The sequence below is a fragment of the Homo sapiens genome, chromosome 10 (genome assembly GCF_000001405.40).
Source record: "Homo sapiens chromosome 10, GRCh38.p14 Primary Assembly".
NCBI classification, from domain to species: Eukaryota; Metazoa; Chordata; class Mammalia; order Primates; family Hominidae; genus Homo; species Homo sapiens.
In genome coordinates this window covers 117,715,948-117,734,815 of record NC_000010.11, presented here as the reverse complement: position 1 = coordinate 117,734,815, position 18,868 = coordinate 117,715,948, and the positions used below count along the sequence as shown (strand labels likewise).

The 18,868-nt window shown below is 42.4% G+C and overlaps 2 long non-coding RNA genes across 3 annotated transcripts, besides 1 other annotated feature; both read right to left on the bottom strand.

Annotated features, from left to right (window-relative positions):
• Positions 1-2,373: 2,373 nt before the first annotated feature.
• On the bottom strand, positions 2,374-17,280 carry LOC107984274 (uncharacterized). Its single transcript, XR_001747600.1, has 3 exons — positions 16,968-17,280; positions 8,913-9,115; positions 2,374-2,524 (listed from the first exon to the last, which is right to left on the bottom strand). It is a non-coding gene; the product is annotated as an uncharacterized LOC107984274 (long non-coding RNA).
• LOC124902556 (uncharacterized) lies at positions 10,410-14,277 on the bottom strand. Of its 2 annotated transcripts, none has more exons than XR_007062386.1 (2): positions 13,701-14,277; positions 10,410-12,531 (listed from the first exon to the last, which is right to left on the bottom strand). It is a non-coding gene; the product is annotated as an uncharacterized LOC124902556 (long non-coding RNA). The 2 variants fall into 2 exon arrangements; XR_007062385.1 differs by having other exon boundaries at positions 10,410-10,887.
• Positions 13,664-13,958: an enhancer, noted in NCBI's record as "tiled region #1206; HepG2 Activating non-DNase unmatched - State 21:Repr, and K562 Activating non-DNase unmatched - State 24:Quies". NCBI's record gives its function as "activates a minimal TATA promoter and a strong SV40 promoter by Sharpr-MPRA in HepG2 and K562 cells {active_cell/tissue: HepG2 | K562}" and the evidence as "EXISTENCE:reporter gene assay evidence [ECO:0000049][PMID:27701403]".
• Positions 17,281-18,868: the final 1,588 nt, after the last annotated feature.

The window sequence follows — 18,868 nt, the reverse complement described above, 5'->3', positions numbered from 1 at the left end:
GGGGGACCCGGGGAGAGTCGCTGTGCACAATTGCTGTTTTTACTCCTGCCATCATTAATTCAACTATTGACAGAGAAAGGAGGGTCCGCAGCAGCTTTGTGTCACGCACTCACTGTAATTTACTTGAAAAGAATTAAATCACAATTACCTGCCATTTGTTTTGCATAAAACGAGCCTGTAATCGCAGAGCTCTTGAAAGGACAACAGCCCCATTGTTGCCATATTAGAACAATATTTCTCAATTTGAAACTTAAAGCTTTAGAATTAGCAGCTTTGTTTGACGGTGGCCCAGGGATAGGCAAGACTGACACCCCAGCTCGGACTCCAGACACTACAGTTAACAAGCATAATTTTCATTCGTTGAAGTCTAGACCGATTTTTCAAATTGTTGCACTTATTGTACAAGTGTACCTCCCAAATGTTGGAAAAGAAAATGCAATCTTTTATCTGTTACCTAGCCCAGTTGATAACTTATCTAAATGCCATGAAAATTCCTGTTGCTGGAGTTAAAATCAGAACAAACTGTAATTAACCCACTTGAGACTTGTTTAAATGTCCAAAGAAATCACACTGTTTCTCAAATAAAGTTACTTCTGTTCTCATTTTCTCTCCTTTCAGATACGGTGGTGTAAATATGACTGATTAGCTTTTAAACCAAGGTTTTAAAATGTATTTAGAATATTCAGTTCTCCAAAATTACATCACTGTTAACTGGTGTGTTCAGCAAATTTGGAGCAGAGCTGGTTTTTTAACAACTTCTGTAAAAGTAAACTGATGCTTTGAGTGAGCTGTAGTTTCCATTAGCATTCATGGCTTTTTAGTAACAAAATGTAACTGTTCAATTAAGCTTGAGTATTAAAAAGAACCCAGTTACTAACTGTAAGAACCCTTCAACAGTCAGGAAAAACAGCAAATACAAAAATCCGGTTGGTAACATTGGAAGCTGTGTGCAGAGAGGGTAACAACCTGTTACAGCAACTTTTGCAAATGAAAATAAAGAGAAGTGGCAGAAAAGAAGGTTGAAAGTAGAAAAGATGAAGGAATAAAAAGGTAGAATTTTAAAAATCTGATTGACAAAAAGCAAGCTGAAATGCAGATTTAGTTCAGGGAATAATTAAAATGTAAAATAAGAAAACCTGATAACCCAGGAAAACAGGTCAGGGAAGGAGTAAAATGCCTTTACTGTTGTTACCATTGGACTCACCCAATTCTGAAAAGTACAATTTTATGATTGAAAGGTGACTCCTTTTTTAAGAGTTTTATTTTTTTAAGAAAGAGAAAAGGGTACTGGCTTTAAAAAAATGGTTTTTTAAAGGAAAAAATATTGTGTTGTCTGCTGTCCTTTTTTTTTAATGTATGTGAAAATTTAAATGTTTAATTTTATTCATAGTACTTTTAAATTTTTTTTAATAATTTTTCCTTTATTCTGCTAGGTGAGAATAAATGCTTGGCTTCAGCAGAAAACAAATTATGTATGGAGCAAAACAAAGACTCAACTGCATTTTTCATGATTGGTTTTTGAACAATAATCCATAGAGGTGGGGGAGGGGGATTCATCAGCAAATGAAACAAAGTCCCCGATCTATATTCCTGTTCTGATGTCACCTCCTGGAATATCGGCAACATTTTAAGTTCCAACCTAAGCCATGAATTCCTTCAGAACAAATCAAATGTCTTTAAAGAATATTTCTGTTTGAAAAGGAATTAAGCTCTCCTGAAAGAATTTTAAAGGTTGTGATATTCACAGTCTGATAAAGCAGCACCTTTAATGAAATTCTAATTAGCAATTTCATGCACTTTGCTATTAGTCATATCAGATTAGTGCACATTTTCACAGCCTTCCTTTAATTAAGTGCACTTATTCCAAGTTTCAAACACTTTCCTTATAAGATGAAAACTGTGCTGAAATGTTATTTAGTAAACAGAGGAAGTGTGAACGTGTAGGTGTGCGTGTGTACAGAGACAGACATTTTAACTGTCTACAATTTTTTTTTTTTTTTTACTTTTAGAGTTGGTGCACTCAGGTTTTCATCCCTTCTTTCTTGTATTCTCAGTATTTCCTCGTATTTCTAAGAGACCCGTTCAAATCCTTATCCAAAGTGCAAATCATGTATTTTGCTTAAAATATATTTCCTGTATGTGTATATATGGAGGGTGTTGTGGGTCTTTTTGCCTTTTTGCTTAAAACATCTCCATATATATTTGTGTGTATATGTGCATGTACGTATATGTATGTATTATGTGTGTGTATATATACAGAGAGAAACTGTACAATCTACAATATCTAATTTTAAAAATCTCTGAAAAGCAATGAGCAAGTATTTATCCATCTCATATATACACACTCCCCACTGCCTTTTGCAGCTACCTCCTTTCCTTTGAAAACAGCAATATGATTTCATTCTACCTTCTAAATTTTATTCCGAAGCTCCAGCCGGGAGTAGTCTGTTAGCTTCATGAGCCGGATCCATGGGTCGCAGGACGACTTCCTTCACTTCAGACTTCACTTCTCCCCTTCAGGAGCCTGGCAGTCAAATCAGTCATTTTCAGGCAAGGCAGGACCTACCCTGGGGGCCCACACCTTACAAACCCCTGAATCCCCCCAGGTTCATCCCTTCCTCCCAGCCTGCTGGAGTGCTGCTCCAATTCAGGGAGATTATGTTGTCTGGGAATCGACTTGATCTTATGTGTAGCCTTTTGTCAAGAGGAAATTTTTGTTGCCTGTTTTGCTCAGAGGTTGAAACTTGTAATATCTTAACTAATTGCCTGCATCTCTAACACATGTTCTCTTGTTGGTGTCGTTCATTTATACTGTAACATTTTTGACATTTTTAGATCCTCTCCTGGGACGCCTGGGCCTCTTAGCAGTTCTCTCCATGAAGAGTGTTTGCCTAATGATTACTGACTGACATCTCAATAACGAGCAATGTATGAGTTGGGTGCATCTATTGAGGAGTTCTGGGGGGTGTGTGTATGTGTGGTGTGTGCAAGTGTGTGTGTGTATGTGTGTTTTAATTCATGGTCCACTTTGTCAAGTCATGTGTGAGCCATAATTTAAGCTAATAATTACCAGACATGAATTCAATGAAACATTGGTGTCTACACTTTAAAAAAATAGTCCTGAATTTTAATGCATTCAGAAAACGTTCGCCTAGGGCCAGGCTGGGTCCAACGCGCATATGGAAGCACTTTAAAAGTGATAAAGGATTTGGAATCTACCCTGTCTACTGGTGTGCTTCTCAGGAAAGAAAATTAGAGCTAACAGGTGTTAGATAGGGAATGCTGGGGCATTTTAATAGAATTGTCAAAATGTTGGTACCAGATGTTGACATGAATGCACACAACTTGGAACGTAATGCCGGGCCGCCATTTAAATAATTATTTGTTTAAATTTCAAGTCGCCAGCAGGAAATCTTTACTTTGTTCAGCACCTTTCTCTACAGACCATCCCCCGGCTCTCTCCCCTACGATTTGCATCAAAGTGTAGTGGCTGCTCGGCTCACATATGCATGCTTTAAATAATCCATGCCTGTCAAATTTCATTTTTTCTTTTCAGATCATACTCATCGCATCCGCGTCCTTGCCAGCCTTGAAGTCGGCCTCAATGTATTCGTATATGAGAAAAGATGATTTAAATACTGCCAGTTACAGGATAATTAATCTTTGAACTACTCGGTAACTTCAAATGTATATACCAAGTAATCTGCATGAACTTGTAATTACTATGTATTTATACGATATTTCTCATGTAATCACCAAGTCGTTACATGGTTACGTGAGCCTTGTAAATTATGGCAATAGCAGAAAACTAATCTCACCCACGCCACCGCAAAAAGCCCATTCAGGAGCTGCTGGTATCCACCACAGTCAATTAATTGAAGGATCCAGAAAGAGTCTATCCTTTAAAGGACGTTAAGATGTTTGCCTGCAATGAAGTCTCAACTTTAAGAAATATTGGGGGATTGAGAGCCTGGCGAGGTGGATAGAGAGTGGCTTTTGTCATCAGCTTACACACAAAGGCTGTGACTGGTTTGGGCCACTTATTGCTGCTAGAGTTGAAAAGCAATTGGAGAAAAAAATCTCAGAGCAAAATCCACCATCGCTTCCATAAGCAGCATTCTGCTGCAGTTGGGAAGGTTTTGAAATAAATTTCAATGTGAGTTTCAAAAGCAAAGCCGGAGGCAGATTTAGTTTGTCATCTTTTCGAACCCAATTAAAACAGGAGCAAAGCCTCCAGTTTTTCCAGACCAAGGCATCTTGTTCTGACGTTCCAAAAGTCAATTCTTTCATGAGTGAACTGTGTGTGCGTGTGAATATGCACACCTGTGCCTATACATACACACACACACACAGAGGTTCATGAGCTATCTTAACGTCTTCAAAATCCACATTGGATCCTGTGGCCCCTTTTATTCAAAAGCAACCATCCAAATGGGAAGGACTCCTTTCCTTCTCATAAGGGTCCTCTCCTTTCTCCCTGACAGGACAGATGGGTCGGTTTTTTGCACAATAAAGAGTGAGGTAGCATGCAAAGCCTTGGCCTTTCTGGGAGCTACAAGTGGCTGTGCCACTCAGAAAAGGGCAAGGTGGCAGAGAAGCTAGGTCTATACTGGATTTTCGATTTCTTCAGAATTATGAGCTTTCCTCTTGATTCGGCACTGTTAGACATAGGAAGGGAGAGTCCAGGCAATAACCTTGAAGACTACCAAGGCCCTGCTGCTTAGCTGACCCATATCCAAACCCTTGTCTGGCTCTCATGCACCCTTGAGACAGGATCTCCAAACCACTAAGGGGTGATGGCCACATCACTCAGAACCTTCCAGGGCCCCTTTTCTTCAGAGGCTCAGCTGTCTGGAACTGTGCTGTCCAATATGCTAACCACTAGCCACATGTGCTTGTATAAATAACTCAAAGATTCGGTTCTTAATGAGAACACATGGACATACGAAGGGGAACATCACACACCGGGGCCTGTCGGGGGGTTGGGGAGCAAGGGGAGGGAGAGCATTAAGACAAATACCTAATGCATGCGGGGCTTAAAACCTAGATGATGAGTTGATAGGTGCAGCAAACCACCATGGCACATATATACCTATGTAACAAACCTGCACATTCAGCACATGCATCCCAGAACTTAAAGTAAAATAAAAAATAAAGATTCGGTTATTGGTTGCACTAGCTAGCTGCATTTCATGTGCCCAGTAGCCACATGTGGCCAGTAGCCACCAGATTGGACCATGCAGATATAGTCTGTTTTCAGGATGGCTAAGCTAGAGCTTTTCATAATTCTCTGGTCATTCCCCTGATCTTTCCCACCCAGAGACACCAACACATGGAGTCAAAGAGCAAAACCAGAGGTTTTTTTCTGAGCCTGGTAAGAGGCTGCCTTGCCTCCTCAGTAAGACCTCTCCTCACTGCGCCTGGACTTGTGTGCAGGGCCAGGGTCCGACCCAGGGCTGAGTGTGTCACCAGACCCAACAGAGCCCTGGGTGACATCTGAGACCGTGGAGGTATTAAGTGGCTAGCGGCCAGTTCTGAGGCCTGAATTGGTAATTGCCTCACAGAGATGGCAGCTTTGCTGGTATAAATCTAGAATGCCATTTTGCCTTCCAGGATAGGATATGCCAGGCTCATCTGCTGGGGATAAGTTTAATTACTCTTTATTACTCACTTTTCATCATATAAGCTGTTCTTTGCTACTTGATTGATATCATATATTACTCATTATTGTGGCTGTTTTTCATTTTTCGAGCGCCTGCCATATGCCAGACCTGTTGCCTCTTTCTTCCTCACAACAACCCTATGAGGTAGAAACTGAGATCCCATTTCACAGATGGGAAAAATCAAGGCTAAGATGGATTCACTGACTTTCTCAAAGCCACATAGCTAATCAGTGGTGGATCAGGATATAAACCTCATGCCATTCACCATCCCCTCACTACACCCCACTCCCAACCCACTCACACATACACAGGCTTGTCTCTTCTCCGAAAGGGCAAGCAGGAAGCTAAGTGGAATTTCCAACTCCTCAGCAATAATCATTCTCAGTGCACAGTTTCCTTATCTATGTCACTCCTCTAACAACAGCCTTTAATTAGTCATCTTATCTGTAGTAGTTTGCAAAATAGCCCCAATTTTCCAACTCTCCCCAATATCCATGCCTCTTTGCAATGTGACTATGCAGCTCCCTCCCTAAAGAGGTGGAGTATATTTTTTGCAGAATGTATTTCTGAATCTAGGTTGGCCTTGTGACTTGCTTTAGCAAGTGAAATGTAGCAGAAGCAATATTGCACCAATTCTGAGCCTAGGTCTCAAGAGGCATTTTTCATGCCTTTATAGTCTCTGTCTCTCTCTCTTTCTCTCTCTCTCTCTCTGAATCTTGCTGCCACCACCTAAACAAGTGCAGCCTAGCCTGCTGGATGATGTGACATAAATGGCCCAATTGTCCTCACTGTCCAGCTAATAGCCAGCTAACCTCCAGAAGCAAAGCCACCCTACCTGACCTGCAGCTGACTATAGATGCATGAGGAAGCTTACCTAGGAAAGAAGAACTGACCTGCTGAGCCCAGCCTAATTTGCTGACCCCTTGAATCATAAACAAATGGTAGTTGCTGAAGCCCCTTTGTTTGCAGGTGGTTTGTTTCATAGCAAGCACTAACTAAAACACTCTCCTGAGCCAGGTGCTTTTTCTCATTATCTGAGAGGTACTCAGCTTATGCCTTCTCCTTCTTTAATTGGCTCTTTCTTTAGGGATATGTTCAAACTTCTGCTAGAGACCCCAAAACCCATAGACCTGGTGAGATTCAATAAAGCTCTTCCTGTCACCGCCTCTGAGCACCATGAAATTTCTCTGCTTATTAAGCAACTGACAAATGAGAATTTTCATTTTAAAAAGCCTAAATCTTTGGCCATTGGGTGTGAGATTGGTTCTCACTTTTGATTCTGGTTTTGGACCAAACCACAAAACCTCCCACACCTAATGAGATTCTTGCTTTTCTTTTTCCTTTCATAGCCAGGCATCCAGAGGAAACTGTTCATCCCTCCCAAATCCATCAGCAGCCAGCAAGGCTGAATGAGACCCACCAAATTCACTTTCATTCCCCATTGGATCTGTTGATTCCAGGCTTTCCAAGCCCAGAGTGGAACTCACAGTGGAAAGGTCTCATGTCTGGAACAGTGAGTGCTGTGGAGCCCAGACTTCATTCCATGCAGCTGGAAGAGAGATGCTGAGGCTGGGTCACGGCCAATCTGGGCTGTTCCAACAACCTCCGTGGGACCTCAATGAAATAGCCCATCACTCAGGCTTTGGATTTTATGGTTTCGCAGTATAAAGATGAGTTTCTGGGATTCCTAAATATTTTAAATTTTGTGTTCGTTCCATAAGTAAGTCTTAGTCACCTACTGTGTGCAAGATTTGAAGGAATATAGTGGGGAAGAAAATTCAGCCTATGTGTGGAAAGAGTTCACGGGTGGGAAGTTATAAAAGTGACAAAAGAATAAAAGGGAGTCCAGCAGAGAATTTAAAAAGGAAGAGCTTTCTTTGTGGGCACTCAATATTTTCCAGGCTCTCCTCTAATTAAGCTAATGTGAATTAATTCATTTAATCTCCACACCTCTCCTATTATGGAAGCACTATTCCCTGCCCCATTTTATAGATGAGGCATAGAGAGGTTAAATGATACAGGCAGCCTCCTACTGCATTCCTGAAAAAATACACTTGAGGATTTAGTGTATGGAAGTTGAGCACCAGGCCAATGGAGCTCCATTTCAATGATGTAAAACAGAAAATACCTAGCACCAGTGTTCTATGATATACATCTGATTATTTTAACATTAAAATTATGCATACATCAAAATATTAAAACATTAAAATATTAATTAAGTATAAATATAGACTAAAGCATTGCCAAAGTAATTTCTTATACCAAATTACAGTCCTCTTGGCTGACTTGAAGTAGTTTTTATGAAGCAAAAAGAGCTGGGTTTAATCCAGGCCAGAAACATTTGCAGAGAACGAGGCATTGCTGCAGAGCCAGGGGGATCAGCTCAGCTCTTAAAATGCTCCTAAGCTGAGAGGCTGCTGGGCCTGGTGAGCCAAGCAGAGGCTGCAAGTTGGCAACTCTGGATTTAAACAAGGGCTTCTCCCCTTGTAGCTGGGTGTCCTTGAGCTAGTCACTTAACTTCTCTGAGTCTCGGTTCTCCAGCTTAGCATGACAGTATTGATAACTTTTCATGGCTTTTGGGCTCTCTGTAAGGTTCAATAAGAACATGCTGTGAATGAGTTCTGTGAACCTAGGCTCCTCAAAGTGTGGTCTGTGGACCTGAAGCAACAGCACCTGAGAACTTGTTAGAATGCCAATCCTCAGGCCCTAACCCTACTGAGGATACTGCCTAGAAAACTCCCCTGCCTTCAGCAATCCTTATGCGTGGTAAAGTTTGCAAACCACCATCTTAAGTAACATCAATTCCCCAGGAGAGTCCCAGGTTACAACTGTGGTCCCAGGAAAATTATTGAACGTGCTCCCTTTCATTCTCAAAAATGTTCAGAATGGATGACAAATTGCACAGCTCCTACAAATGACTTGCATGAGTCTAGCAGCCTTCCTAAGAGATGGGGAATCACATTATCACCATGGAGACAGGGCTGGGAAAAGGAGAGAAAGGAAGGAATAAAGACAGGTAGGCAGGCTTTCTCTCAGAGCTACCTTTTGGGCAACTAGAAACAACTAGAATTAGGGATTATGGACCCACGAACTCAGTGGTCCAGGGGCTTCTAACTGTTGGGGCTGTTTCTGTGTTAACAATCATGCCATCATCTATAAATGCTAGCAGTCACTCGCTGCTCCCCTCGTTCTCACAGAGACTGGGTGTGGCCTCAGAATTCTACACACAGCACTCCATGAAGCTCTTACCTATTTGACAGACTTGATGTAGTTCATCCCCTTTCATCCCCAAGATGAACAAGCTGAGGCCCACGCAGTCACTCCCCTATGGGCATACGGAGTGTTTGCAGAGCCTGGCGTGTCTCACAGAGATAATTCTTCTTGGCTTTTTGCACCCACAGGCCATTAATTCACCCAAGGGTCAATTAATTTGTCTTGTGTGGCTAAGCCTGCTGAGAAGAAGAAGAGAGAGAGGAACATTGTACCTTTTGGTGAAGCAAGATTGGTCAGTCCTGGGGGAAGTAACCTTAACTTCAGCCTAACCAGATAGATGTCATCACCCATTTTACAGATGAACACACCGATATGCAGAGAGATTAACGGGGCTGCCATGGTGGCTGAGGGGACCCTAACCTGCCACCACTTTATCCTTGGATATTTGATTTAGAGGGTGGATTGCCTTTCAGACTTGAGGCATCTCCCTCACTGTTCACCTGAAATTTTTACATTAGGGATTCATTCCTTTGGCTCCTGAAAACATTTTGGTCTTCTGGAGTCCTCTCTGTGAGACCAGCTCCTGTATATGCAAATGCAGTTCTCAGTTGGCTGTGGGCTAAGAATGAGGCTGGGGGTGGCAGGAAGCAGTGGTCTCACCTGTTTGGTCATATCTGCACACCTACCCTTCTATTCCTTACTAAAAATGTTACTGTAAATTGATTTGCTTTTTGTTATAAATTTAATGCATTTATTTTGAAAGAGCATATATTATTATTGTAAATGGAAAACCAGTTTCATGCACCAGAATTTATTAAAACTGATACAGAGCTTTCAAAATATTAAAAGGTTGCTTAGTGCAGTAACTCCAATCAGCTCACATACTGGTGCATTATGGGAAACTCCAACACACAGGGGAAGAGCCAGACTAGGAGAAGAGAAAGGAAAGGAATTCCCACTTCTGCACTGAGACTTCATGGTACTTTTCAGAGGAGTCCCAGGGAGTGGAGAGAGACTTGGGCATGATCTTGAGCACTTCTATTCCAAGCCTCAGTTTCTTCAGCTCCAAAATAGGGCTGAGTTCAGCCACTTTCCTCTCAGGATGCTTGGGAGGAGGATTAACTGAGTGATATGGTTTGGCTGCATCCCCATGCAAATCTTCCCTTGAATTGTAATAATCCCCACGTGTCAAGGGTAGAGCCAGGTGGAGATAATTGAATGAGGGCAGTTTTCACCATACTGTTCTTGTGGTAGTGAATGAGTCTCACAAGATCTAATGGTTTTATAAATGGGAGTTCCCCTGCACAGGCTGTCTTGCCTGCCACCATGTAAGATGTGCCTTTGCTCCTCCTTCACCTTCCACCATGATTGTGAGTGCCCCCCACCCCAGCCATGTGAAACTGTGAGTCCATTAAACATTTTTTCTTTATAAATTACCCAGTCTCAGGTATGTGTTAGCAACATGAGAACAGACTAATACACTGGGATTATGGTTGTTCATGAGCTTTATAAAGAGTGGCACAGGTCATAACATTGAATGCTCAAGATTTTTTTTATTTTAATTTTACTTTTAGGTTCTGGGGTACATGTGCAGGATGTGAAGGTTTGTTACATAGGTAAACATGTGCCATGGTGGTTTGCTGCACCAATCAACCCATCACCTAGGTATTAATCTCAGTATGTGTTAGCTAGTTTTCCCAATGCTCTCCCTCCCCTGACCCCACACCCCCAACAGGCCCTAGTGTGTGTTGTTCCCCCCCCTGTGTCCATGTGTTCTCATTGTTTAGCTCCCACTTATAAGTGAGAACATGTGGCGTCTGGTTTTCTGTTCCTTGAAAGATTATTGTTCTCAGCTCCCTCCACAGTGTGAAGCTGTCAGGCCTGATCAGAGGAAAGTGGCTTCATATGGGAGGTCACTATCCAAGGACACCTGGCAACATCTGTTGTGGCAACCAGTCGTAAGAGACCACATAGTTTCTTCAGTTTAGCTTCAGATTTAACACTGAGCTTCCTGGTGGCAAAAGTGAAAAGAGAAAAATAGTCATTTATGAAGGAGGAAAGAAAAGAAGCATATCAGCTTCTCAGGGGACACAGAGGTTTTCCTGGTCTTGAGTTCAAAAATTAATTTCTCACACAGAGTTTAAAATGAGGTCAACTGGGGTAACAAAAAGAGTCTTAGCCCAAAGCTAACAGGTACTAGGGCCACTTCCAGATCTGACAACTTATCTTGGCGACTTTTGGATTCATGCTTTTTCTCTGTTTTGTTTTGTGACCATCTCAACAGTGTATAAGGGGAAGAGTGCTGAACTCTGAGCCAGAGGACCTGGTTCTAATCCTGGGTTGTGGGTCCCATGTAAGGCAGTTAACTCTAGCCAAAACGTCTCCATCTGGTGGTGCAGCCACCGAAAATCATTTTAGAAGAATTGCAATGGCATCAGAGACACTCATGAGGCAATACTGAATGGAAAAAAGGCAGGATGCAATACTGTGGCTATGATATGATTTCACCCATATTAAATAATTCCACAGATGTGTGCAGAGGCCAAATGCAGAGTGGTTAGGAACACAGGTCGGGGGCTGGAGCCAATTGGTTTGTCTGGACTCAATCCTTACCCACTCCTACCTCCACTATCTGTGTGTCTTGGGGCAAGTGAAAACTTCTCTGTGCCAGTTTTCTGTAAAATGTAGGTAGTAATAGTGTCTACCTAACACAGTTGTTTTGAAACGTAAATGAATGAGTATGTAAAAAGCACTTATGACAGTCCCTGGCACACTGAGCACTCAGTGGGTATGTGAGTGTGCATTTGTGTGTGTGCACACACGTGTGTGTTTGCATGTGTGTGTGTGTGTGCATGTGCGTTTGTGTGTGCCTTTTTGTATGTGCAAGCGTGGGTCTGCTCGTGAGCATGGGTGTGTACGGTCACTGAAAAAAGTCTAAAAGGAAAGAACCCAAAACACTAACTGTCATCTGGTGGTAACTACGGTTTTCTTTTTTTCACTTTTCTCTGCTTTCCAAATGCTTTTCTGTGTTTTGTTTTTCTACTCAGGGGCAAAACCAAAATGCTTTGTGTTTGCCTTTCACCATCTGCAAAAGGAGGATCACAAGCCTTGTTCAGGGTCACTGTGAGATTCAAAGGAGATATGGAACCCCAGGGTTTATAAGCTGTTAAGTGTGGACACAGTTGGAGAATTACCCTTATAAGCACACTAGTGCCTCAGACCTCCAGCTATTTGGGTGCAGTCCCCCACAGGTGGCTCCTGCAGCTGCGTCTCCCCTACATTCTGGCCTAGGATGTGGGCTAGGGGCTGCCTCCCTCACTTGGGTGAGTCATCTCTGATCCCCTCTCCCAAAAAGGTGCCTTGAGTAGATAAAACCCTTCTACCTTCAGCCAACAAATGTTCACCAGCCCCTGAGGTTTAAAAGCTGAATAGTCCTTTATCATCTCATTGGCAGTGGAAAGAATATCTTTCCTGCACCCTTCTCCTTCTATGTACCTCTACCCCTACTACAATCCAGCCTCTGAATGCTTTTCATCAAATACGATGATTTTTTTTTTCAACGTGCTGGGGTCTCCTTCCTCGGGCATTTATCCCACCACTTGGGGGATAAATCTAGAGCCAGCTGCTTCTCCAGCTCACTACTCCAAATTCACATCTAGAAAAGAAATAAGAATAACTAATAGACATTCTGTGCTTTTCCACATTTTCTTTCTTACTTTTTTCCCTTAAAACAAATTTGGCCTTTTAAGCGAGATACCACCGTATATTTATGGGAGTTTAATAACTTCTTCCATTAATAACACAGACAAACTAATTTACCCAAACGTGTCTGTTTTAAACTCTGGGAACAAAGGGTGGGAGGATGAAAATCAATCTTTCCTTTGTACTTGAGCCATTGACCCGTTAAAGCTTTGAAGATCATTTCTTTAAGAAATTGTGAGGAGTTATTTAACTACAAACAGCAGCTACCTTCCCATTCCAGCTGCGTAATCAAGCATAATAAATTAGAGTTTTAAAAAGTTGACTCTATTTTTTCTTTCCTTCTTTTTTTTTTTTTTTTTGTATAACTGAAAATTCTTAATAGCATTTTGACAAATTGGTTTCATGGCAGACACCAGCAGCAACCTTTCCTTGCACTGGAGCTGTTTAAGCCAAGTGGAAGCATTTGGAGGCATTCCTGATTGGAGGCTGTTGGGAGAAGCCCAGGTTTTACCTTTGAAGCAGGACTTGATAAAGTTCCTGTCACCAGCAAATGCAAGCATTGCCCTGGGACCCAGCCACCCTAAACTGGGCGGCAATTTCCGGCCTCAGCCCTGGACGCCCACCCAGCTGAGAACACTTCATTGAGAAAGAGACGTTCAGGCTGGCCCGTAAGAGCGGCAAGGAACCTCCCTCCCAAATCTGGTCAGCATTCCTCCACGCAAACCTTTCTGATCCACTTTGATAAAAATCAGTCTCCGCGGGTCTTGAAAGAGTCAAAGGCCCTTCTTAATCAAATGATCAACTGTTCATTTTGAAAGCTTGACTGGTTCAATTAAGACCACAGGCAGGAGACAAGCTGGTCATATTACCCTCCTTTCCAGCCGGCCTGGCCAGTCGCCGTCCTGAAACCTGCCTTTGACCAGCCCACTTCTGTGCCCGCCTGGAATGCCCCCCTCCCCCGGTGAAATTTGACCCAAACTTCAAGGCCCCATTCTGGTTCCTCTCAGGAGCCTTCCCTGGCCCTACCAGCTGGCAGTGACCTCTCCTTCTGAAATCTTCCAACTGTATTGTGAGTCCCTTCACCTGGGGCTTTATTGTATACCGCCTTGAGCTGCTCCTTACCTTCTTAGGAGCAAGAAGCCTGCAGACTTCTCCACGAGGCTTGCCACACGACTCGGCCTCTGTGAGCATGCTCACATGACTGCCTGAAGTCCGGCCTTTATACACCTCTGTGTGACCCTGCGATCAGGCAGCTCTCAATGACAAAGGGTTGGTGGCTTCCAAAAGTCCGCTCATGAGTCAGCTGTTTGGAATTTAGAATGTGGTCCTTCCTTTTTTCCAAAATAATGATGTTCTAAAATGATGCACTCACAGTGACCAGGGCACAGACTAGCCCAGTAAGTCCTATTTTGCCTGTGACATAACTGCAACAGCATTCAACAGATGCGCTCCCGTCATACAACCTGTGTCTGCAGGTGCCTGTATAGCTGTTAAGTCAACAGTCTTCAGCCACTGTGAGCTAGATTTTTTTCTGGGCTACACTGGGAAGTTTACCCCATCCTCCACTCAAGGCAAATGCTGCAGAGGGGAAACTCATTCATGTCCCCATGCCTCCTCACACTCAACCCCTGCCACAGCTTTCAGCAGGATACAAAAAGGGGCAAAGCTAGGAAGCCCCTTCCTTCTGCTTTCTCCCCTTGGTTGAACCTAAAACAAAAATAGAAGGGGATTCAGAGTTGCCCAGACTCAGCCTGGGCTGGAGTTGATCCCTGGTGAAAGCCAGTTTTCTGATGGGTGGGGCAGCAGGGTGGGGGCTATAAGTTGGTCAGGAGGGCAGTGCCCTTGCCAGCCCATGGCAGTGCCTGGCATGCCCATGCCAGACCTTTGGAGGGCATTATCTCTCAAAGGCATTCGTGTTTTAATCTGGAGATACAGCAGAGGCATGCTCATCCTCTGATGTCACTTTAACTTTCCCCATCTGTCCCTGGCACTGGGCTGTGTGGAACCGTGAGAGCCTCCCCCAGAGACCCCCAGCCTCAGAGTACAAGGTCAGATAATGCCAGGAACACCCTCAGCTCTGATCCTGCCAGTCTGTCCACATGGGGTGACTGGCCATGCTGAATTGTCATTTTTCAAAACAACACTTGAATAATAGAATGTTGTCAATCTTGTCACCAGCTAATCCCCTCCGTCAGAACTCCTACCTTAGAATTTGTGCACCCACAGATAATACCGCAGATGTGTCCGCGTCTAGTGTTTTTTTTAGAAATGTCTCCACCCCAAATTTTAGACCCCCCTCTCTTCAGTCCAGGGGACCCCAAAACACCTTTTAAACCAACATGCTAACACCAGGGAGGTTGCCTCTAGGAGGAAAGTCACCAGAGGCCGGTGTTGTATGACTGTGGGGAAATTCTAATGGCACAAGTCTAAATAGAGAAGCTTCCTGAGCTGCCTTACCTTGTCGTTACGCCACTTTGCAGACGCTGTGTTAGAACCCATTTAAAGCATTCAAGCATATAATCAAATTTCAGTAATGAGTTATTAATTAAGCAGGGGCAACCAATTCTCTGCTAACTGCCTCATAAACAATCGACAGGAGATTTGTGAATTTTGACTTCCTGACACTATTAAACAAATCAATATTAGGTTTCAGACACAGCAATTCAGACAGTTTTCTCTGTTATTTGGCAGCCATCTGCCTGGAATACTAATGAAAGAATTAAGAGCTGGAGATTTTGCATGTGTTCCATCAAAAAGATCCTTATCTGTGGGGAATTGGGGCCTGATTTGCATGGAAGAAGACTTTGCTTTTGTAGGTACAATTTTTCTCAATATGTCACTCATTAGTATTTATAAAAGCACTGGGCAGTGGAACGGCCACCAGGCTTCATAACAAGCAGGCAGAGCCCTACTGGAGATAGCTCAGACAAAGCAATTTATTTATTTATATATTTTGCAGACTGGTTAATTTATAGCTAATCTAACCTGTGGAAAACTTGGGTCTAAGGATACAGCTAAGCCTCTTACTCAGCTTTTATTTTTTTTAAAAGGTCCATTTGTTCACGTGTAGAAACAGCTAAGTAAACAAGGAAGACAGAGTTTTGCAAAAGCTGGGTAACCTCTAAGTGGCAAAATGTGGTCATCTAAGTCACCTCCTTGGCCTTCCCTCTTTCTTTCGCTCTTTATTTACCTTCAGTGGTCACTTAATAGCAGTGCTACTGGAAGCACCTTGGAGGGACGGTGGCAGGGATTTACCACTGCTTATCTAAGGAAGGAGTAAGTGCAGGCAGTTTCAGGGCTGAGCTTGTCTCACTAGTTCCTCCATGCACCCCAGACCCAAAGTGCTGGCTTTATTCAAGGGGCCGCTCAGCATGTGTGATCCATTGGTGCTGTGGCCTCCTGACTTAGCCAGAAAGGTGCCAAGTAGGAGCTGACCTGAAAGTTTAAGGACTGGAACTAACACAGTGACAAGGACCCTTTCCAGGCTGGCAGATGCAGAAGGTTTCTGGCTTATCACATATCTACCTAAATGCCTTGAAGCCAAAAAAAAACCCTTAACTATATGTATACAATTTTTATATTATATATGTATATCTATTGCGTGTATGTGTATGTGAACATATATACATGCATATACATGTGTATGTAAATATATGTGCATGGATATACATATGCACAGACATGAATACACACATATAATTGTAGTATATATTTACATATGATGTACTTTTATATATGGGTATATATTATATAGATATAAGACCCAGAAATGTACTCTGTTAGGAGATTTGGGATTGTGTCTTTTTTCAGATGTGTTTTGATTTTGTTCCTAGTTGAAAGGAATTGAAAAGTATTTTAAAACAATAATGTACAACCAAAAAATGAGAGTGTTGATTTGTTCCTAAAGCTGAAAGATTTTCTTGAGTTCTGGTTCTAATCTGGTGCTTAGACCAATAAGGAATTCATCAACTCGCTACAGAGGTCTCCAAGGAATCTCCTGATATCCTCTGCAAAACTTTGCATATTTGTATCTATCTGTATTTTTTTAGGAGATGACCCACAGATTTAAGCAACATTTTTCAGAGTTCTGTAACTCAAAATAAATTAAGAACCATTTTTTCTGCCCCTTTTATAGATGGGAAAGCAGGTGAGTGCTGTGATTCTCAAGATGAGTGATGGGTGGTGGATAAAATCCTACCTCCAGGCTTCTGGTCATGTGGTCTTTTACCCCCTAGCATGGTAGAGTTTCTGTCTGTACACCAATTAGGATTAGGTTCAACTGTTAGCAACAAGAAACTGAAAATAATAGTGACTTTGATGAGAAAGAAATGTATTTGTCTTTTACATACATGAAGTCCACAGGTCAACAGTCCAGAACTAGCGCCTCACCTCCATGATCATCAGAATCCCGGGCTTCACATACTTTGTTGCTCTGTCATTGCCAGCAGTGCCTTCTTCCACATGGTCCTAACTGGCTGCCACAGCTCCAGCCATCACATCTTTAGCGCTATCCAGAGAAAAAGAAGAAGGAGTGGAGGGAAGGGGATGGAAAGGGCATGTTCTTCCTCCTAAGGATATTTTCCAGAAAACCCTCTTACTTCTTAAAGACCAGAACTTAGTCACATGACCACACCTAGCTGCCAGGGAGGCTTGGAAATGTAGTCTTTGTGGTAGGAAGGGAAATTGCACATTGGAAGAAAACCACTGGTCTCTACCACACAGTACTTTAGAGAAAGTATCCAATGCCTCTCCCCAGCACATCCCAAGGACCAAGGCAGAGTGTGCCTGGAGTGAGTCTGGTCTTAATCTAATCTACTGCATGAAGCGAGAAGGCAGTAACAGCATCTTACATGAAGGCAGTGACAAGTCAAGATGGAGGACATGTGGAAAACTGATCACCAGAATTAACAATGGTGGAGGTGACCATCTGGTGTGGTCGTAGAGAGCTTAACAGAGGACTGAAAACTGTGGGAGATAGAATGGGTGACATGGAAGAGGAGTGGAGGGTTTCAGAGACACAGACCAACACCCTGGCAGATTTCTACCTATTGCTCACAGGTACCCATGTAAGTAAAGCAGATTCCTTTAAAGCTGCCACCGAGGAACAGATGTTGGGTGTGGTTCTCATTTCATCAGCCTGGTTCCCTCACCCTCAGGCTCTGATGTCTGTAAACCCATTTAGAGTGACTAACCACAATAAGCATTCCTAAGGCCATCCTTATTTTGAAGCTTGAGAGAGAAGGGTGCCCTGTCCTTACACAAAATATGAAACTTCAGGCAAAAATCCAAACTTAGAAAGCTAAGAAATTACATGAAGAGCTGCCCACATCACAAAAAGAGCTTCATTTTGCAAAATAAAAAAAAAAAAGTTTTACAATGGGTTTCCCCCTGACATAGATCAAGTCTTACTTGATATTTCAAAATTCAATGCACATAGAATATTTCAGAAGTGCAGCAACTGATTGTGCTATACCGCTCTATTTACTGAAATAGGTAAAAGGAAAACAAGAAGTATCCATCATGAGTTGAATATTTATTATGTGGTAGGCCCATTCCCAGGCATTGTCTCATTTAATTTTCACCACACAGTAAAGTAAGCTATGTAGATATTCTGCCCTTAACTTGTCCAGAGTCACTGAGCACATGGCAGAACGGGAAGCTGGTGCTCTTTGACTGAATACCTTATTCTCTCTAGCTTGCTGTGAGATGTTCTATGCTATCTCTTCATCGTGCAGAATCTTTGTTAATCTTGTCTAAATATTGTATTTTGGTTTTCCATTTAACCAGTAATAAGAACAATACCAGTTGCTAACCATAGATATGATTTGCTGTTGGGGACCTGGAAATTGACTTCATTGTTTTGCAGAATTATAATTTGGGTTTTAAATTTTCAAATGTCCCTGTTACCTTTATAGTCAGCATTTCCTGGTGCATCAGGACTGTTAGTGTGAAATTACTACAGATAGTTAAAATAATTCATAAAATAAAAATCAAGAGAAAACTCAGAAACTCTTTTTGTTCCCCCATCAGTCTTTTGTTCCTTGCCTTGATAGTGCCACCTGGAACCATACTATGTATTTAAAAATATGTTAGTTCAGAATGCTGGTCACATGCCAGTAGACAACTTGGACACTAAAGGGTGACATTTCCAGTTCCATGTTCTTAGATGATACCATGTCAGTCTTTGAATATTAGTTTTCGACAACAGCAATCTATGCTAGTCAATTTGAGCAGAAAAAGATTTCTTTTTTAAAAAATATTAATTATACTTTATGTTCTGGGATACAAGT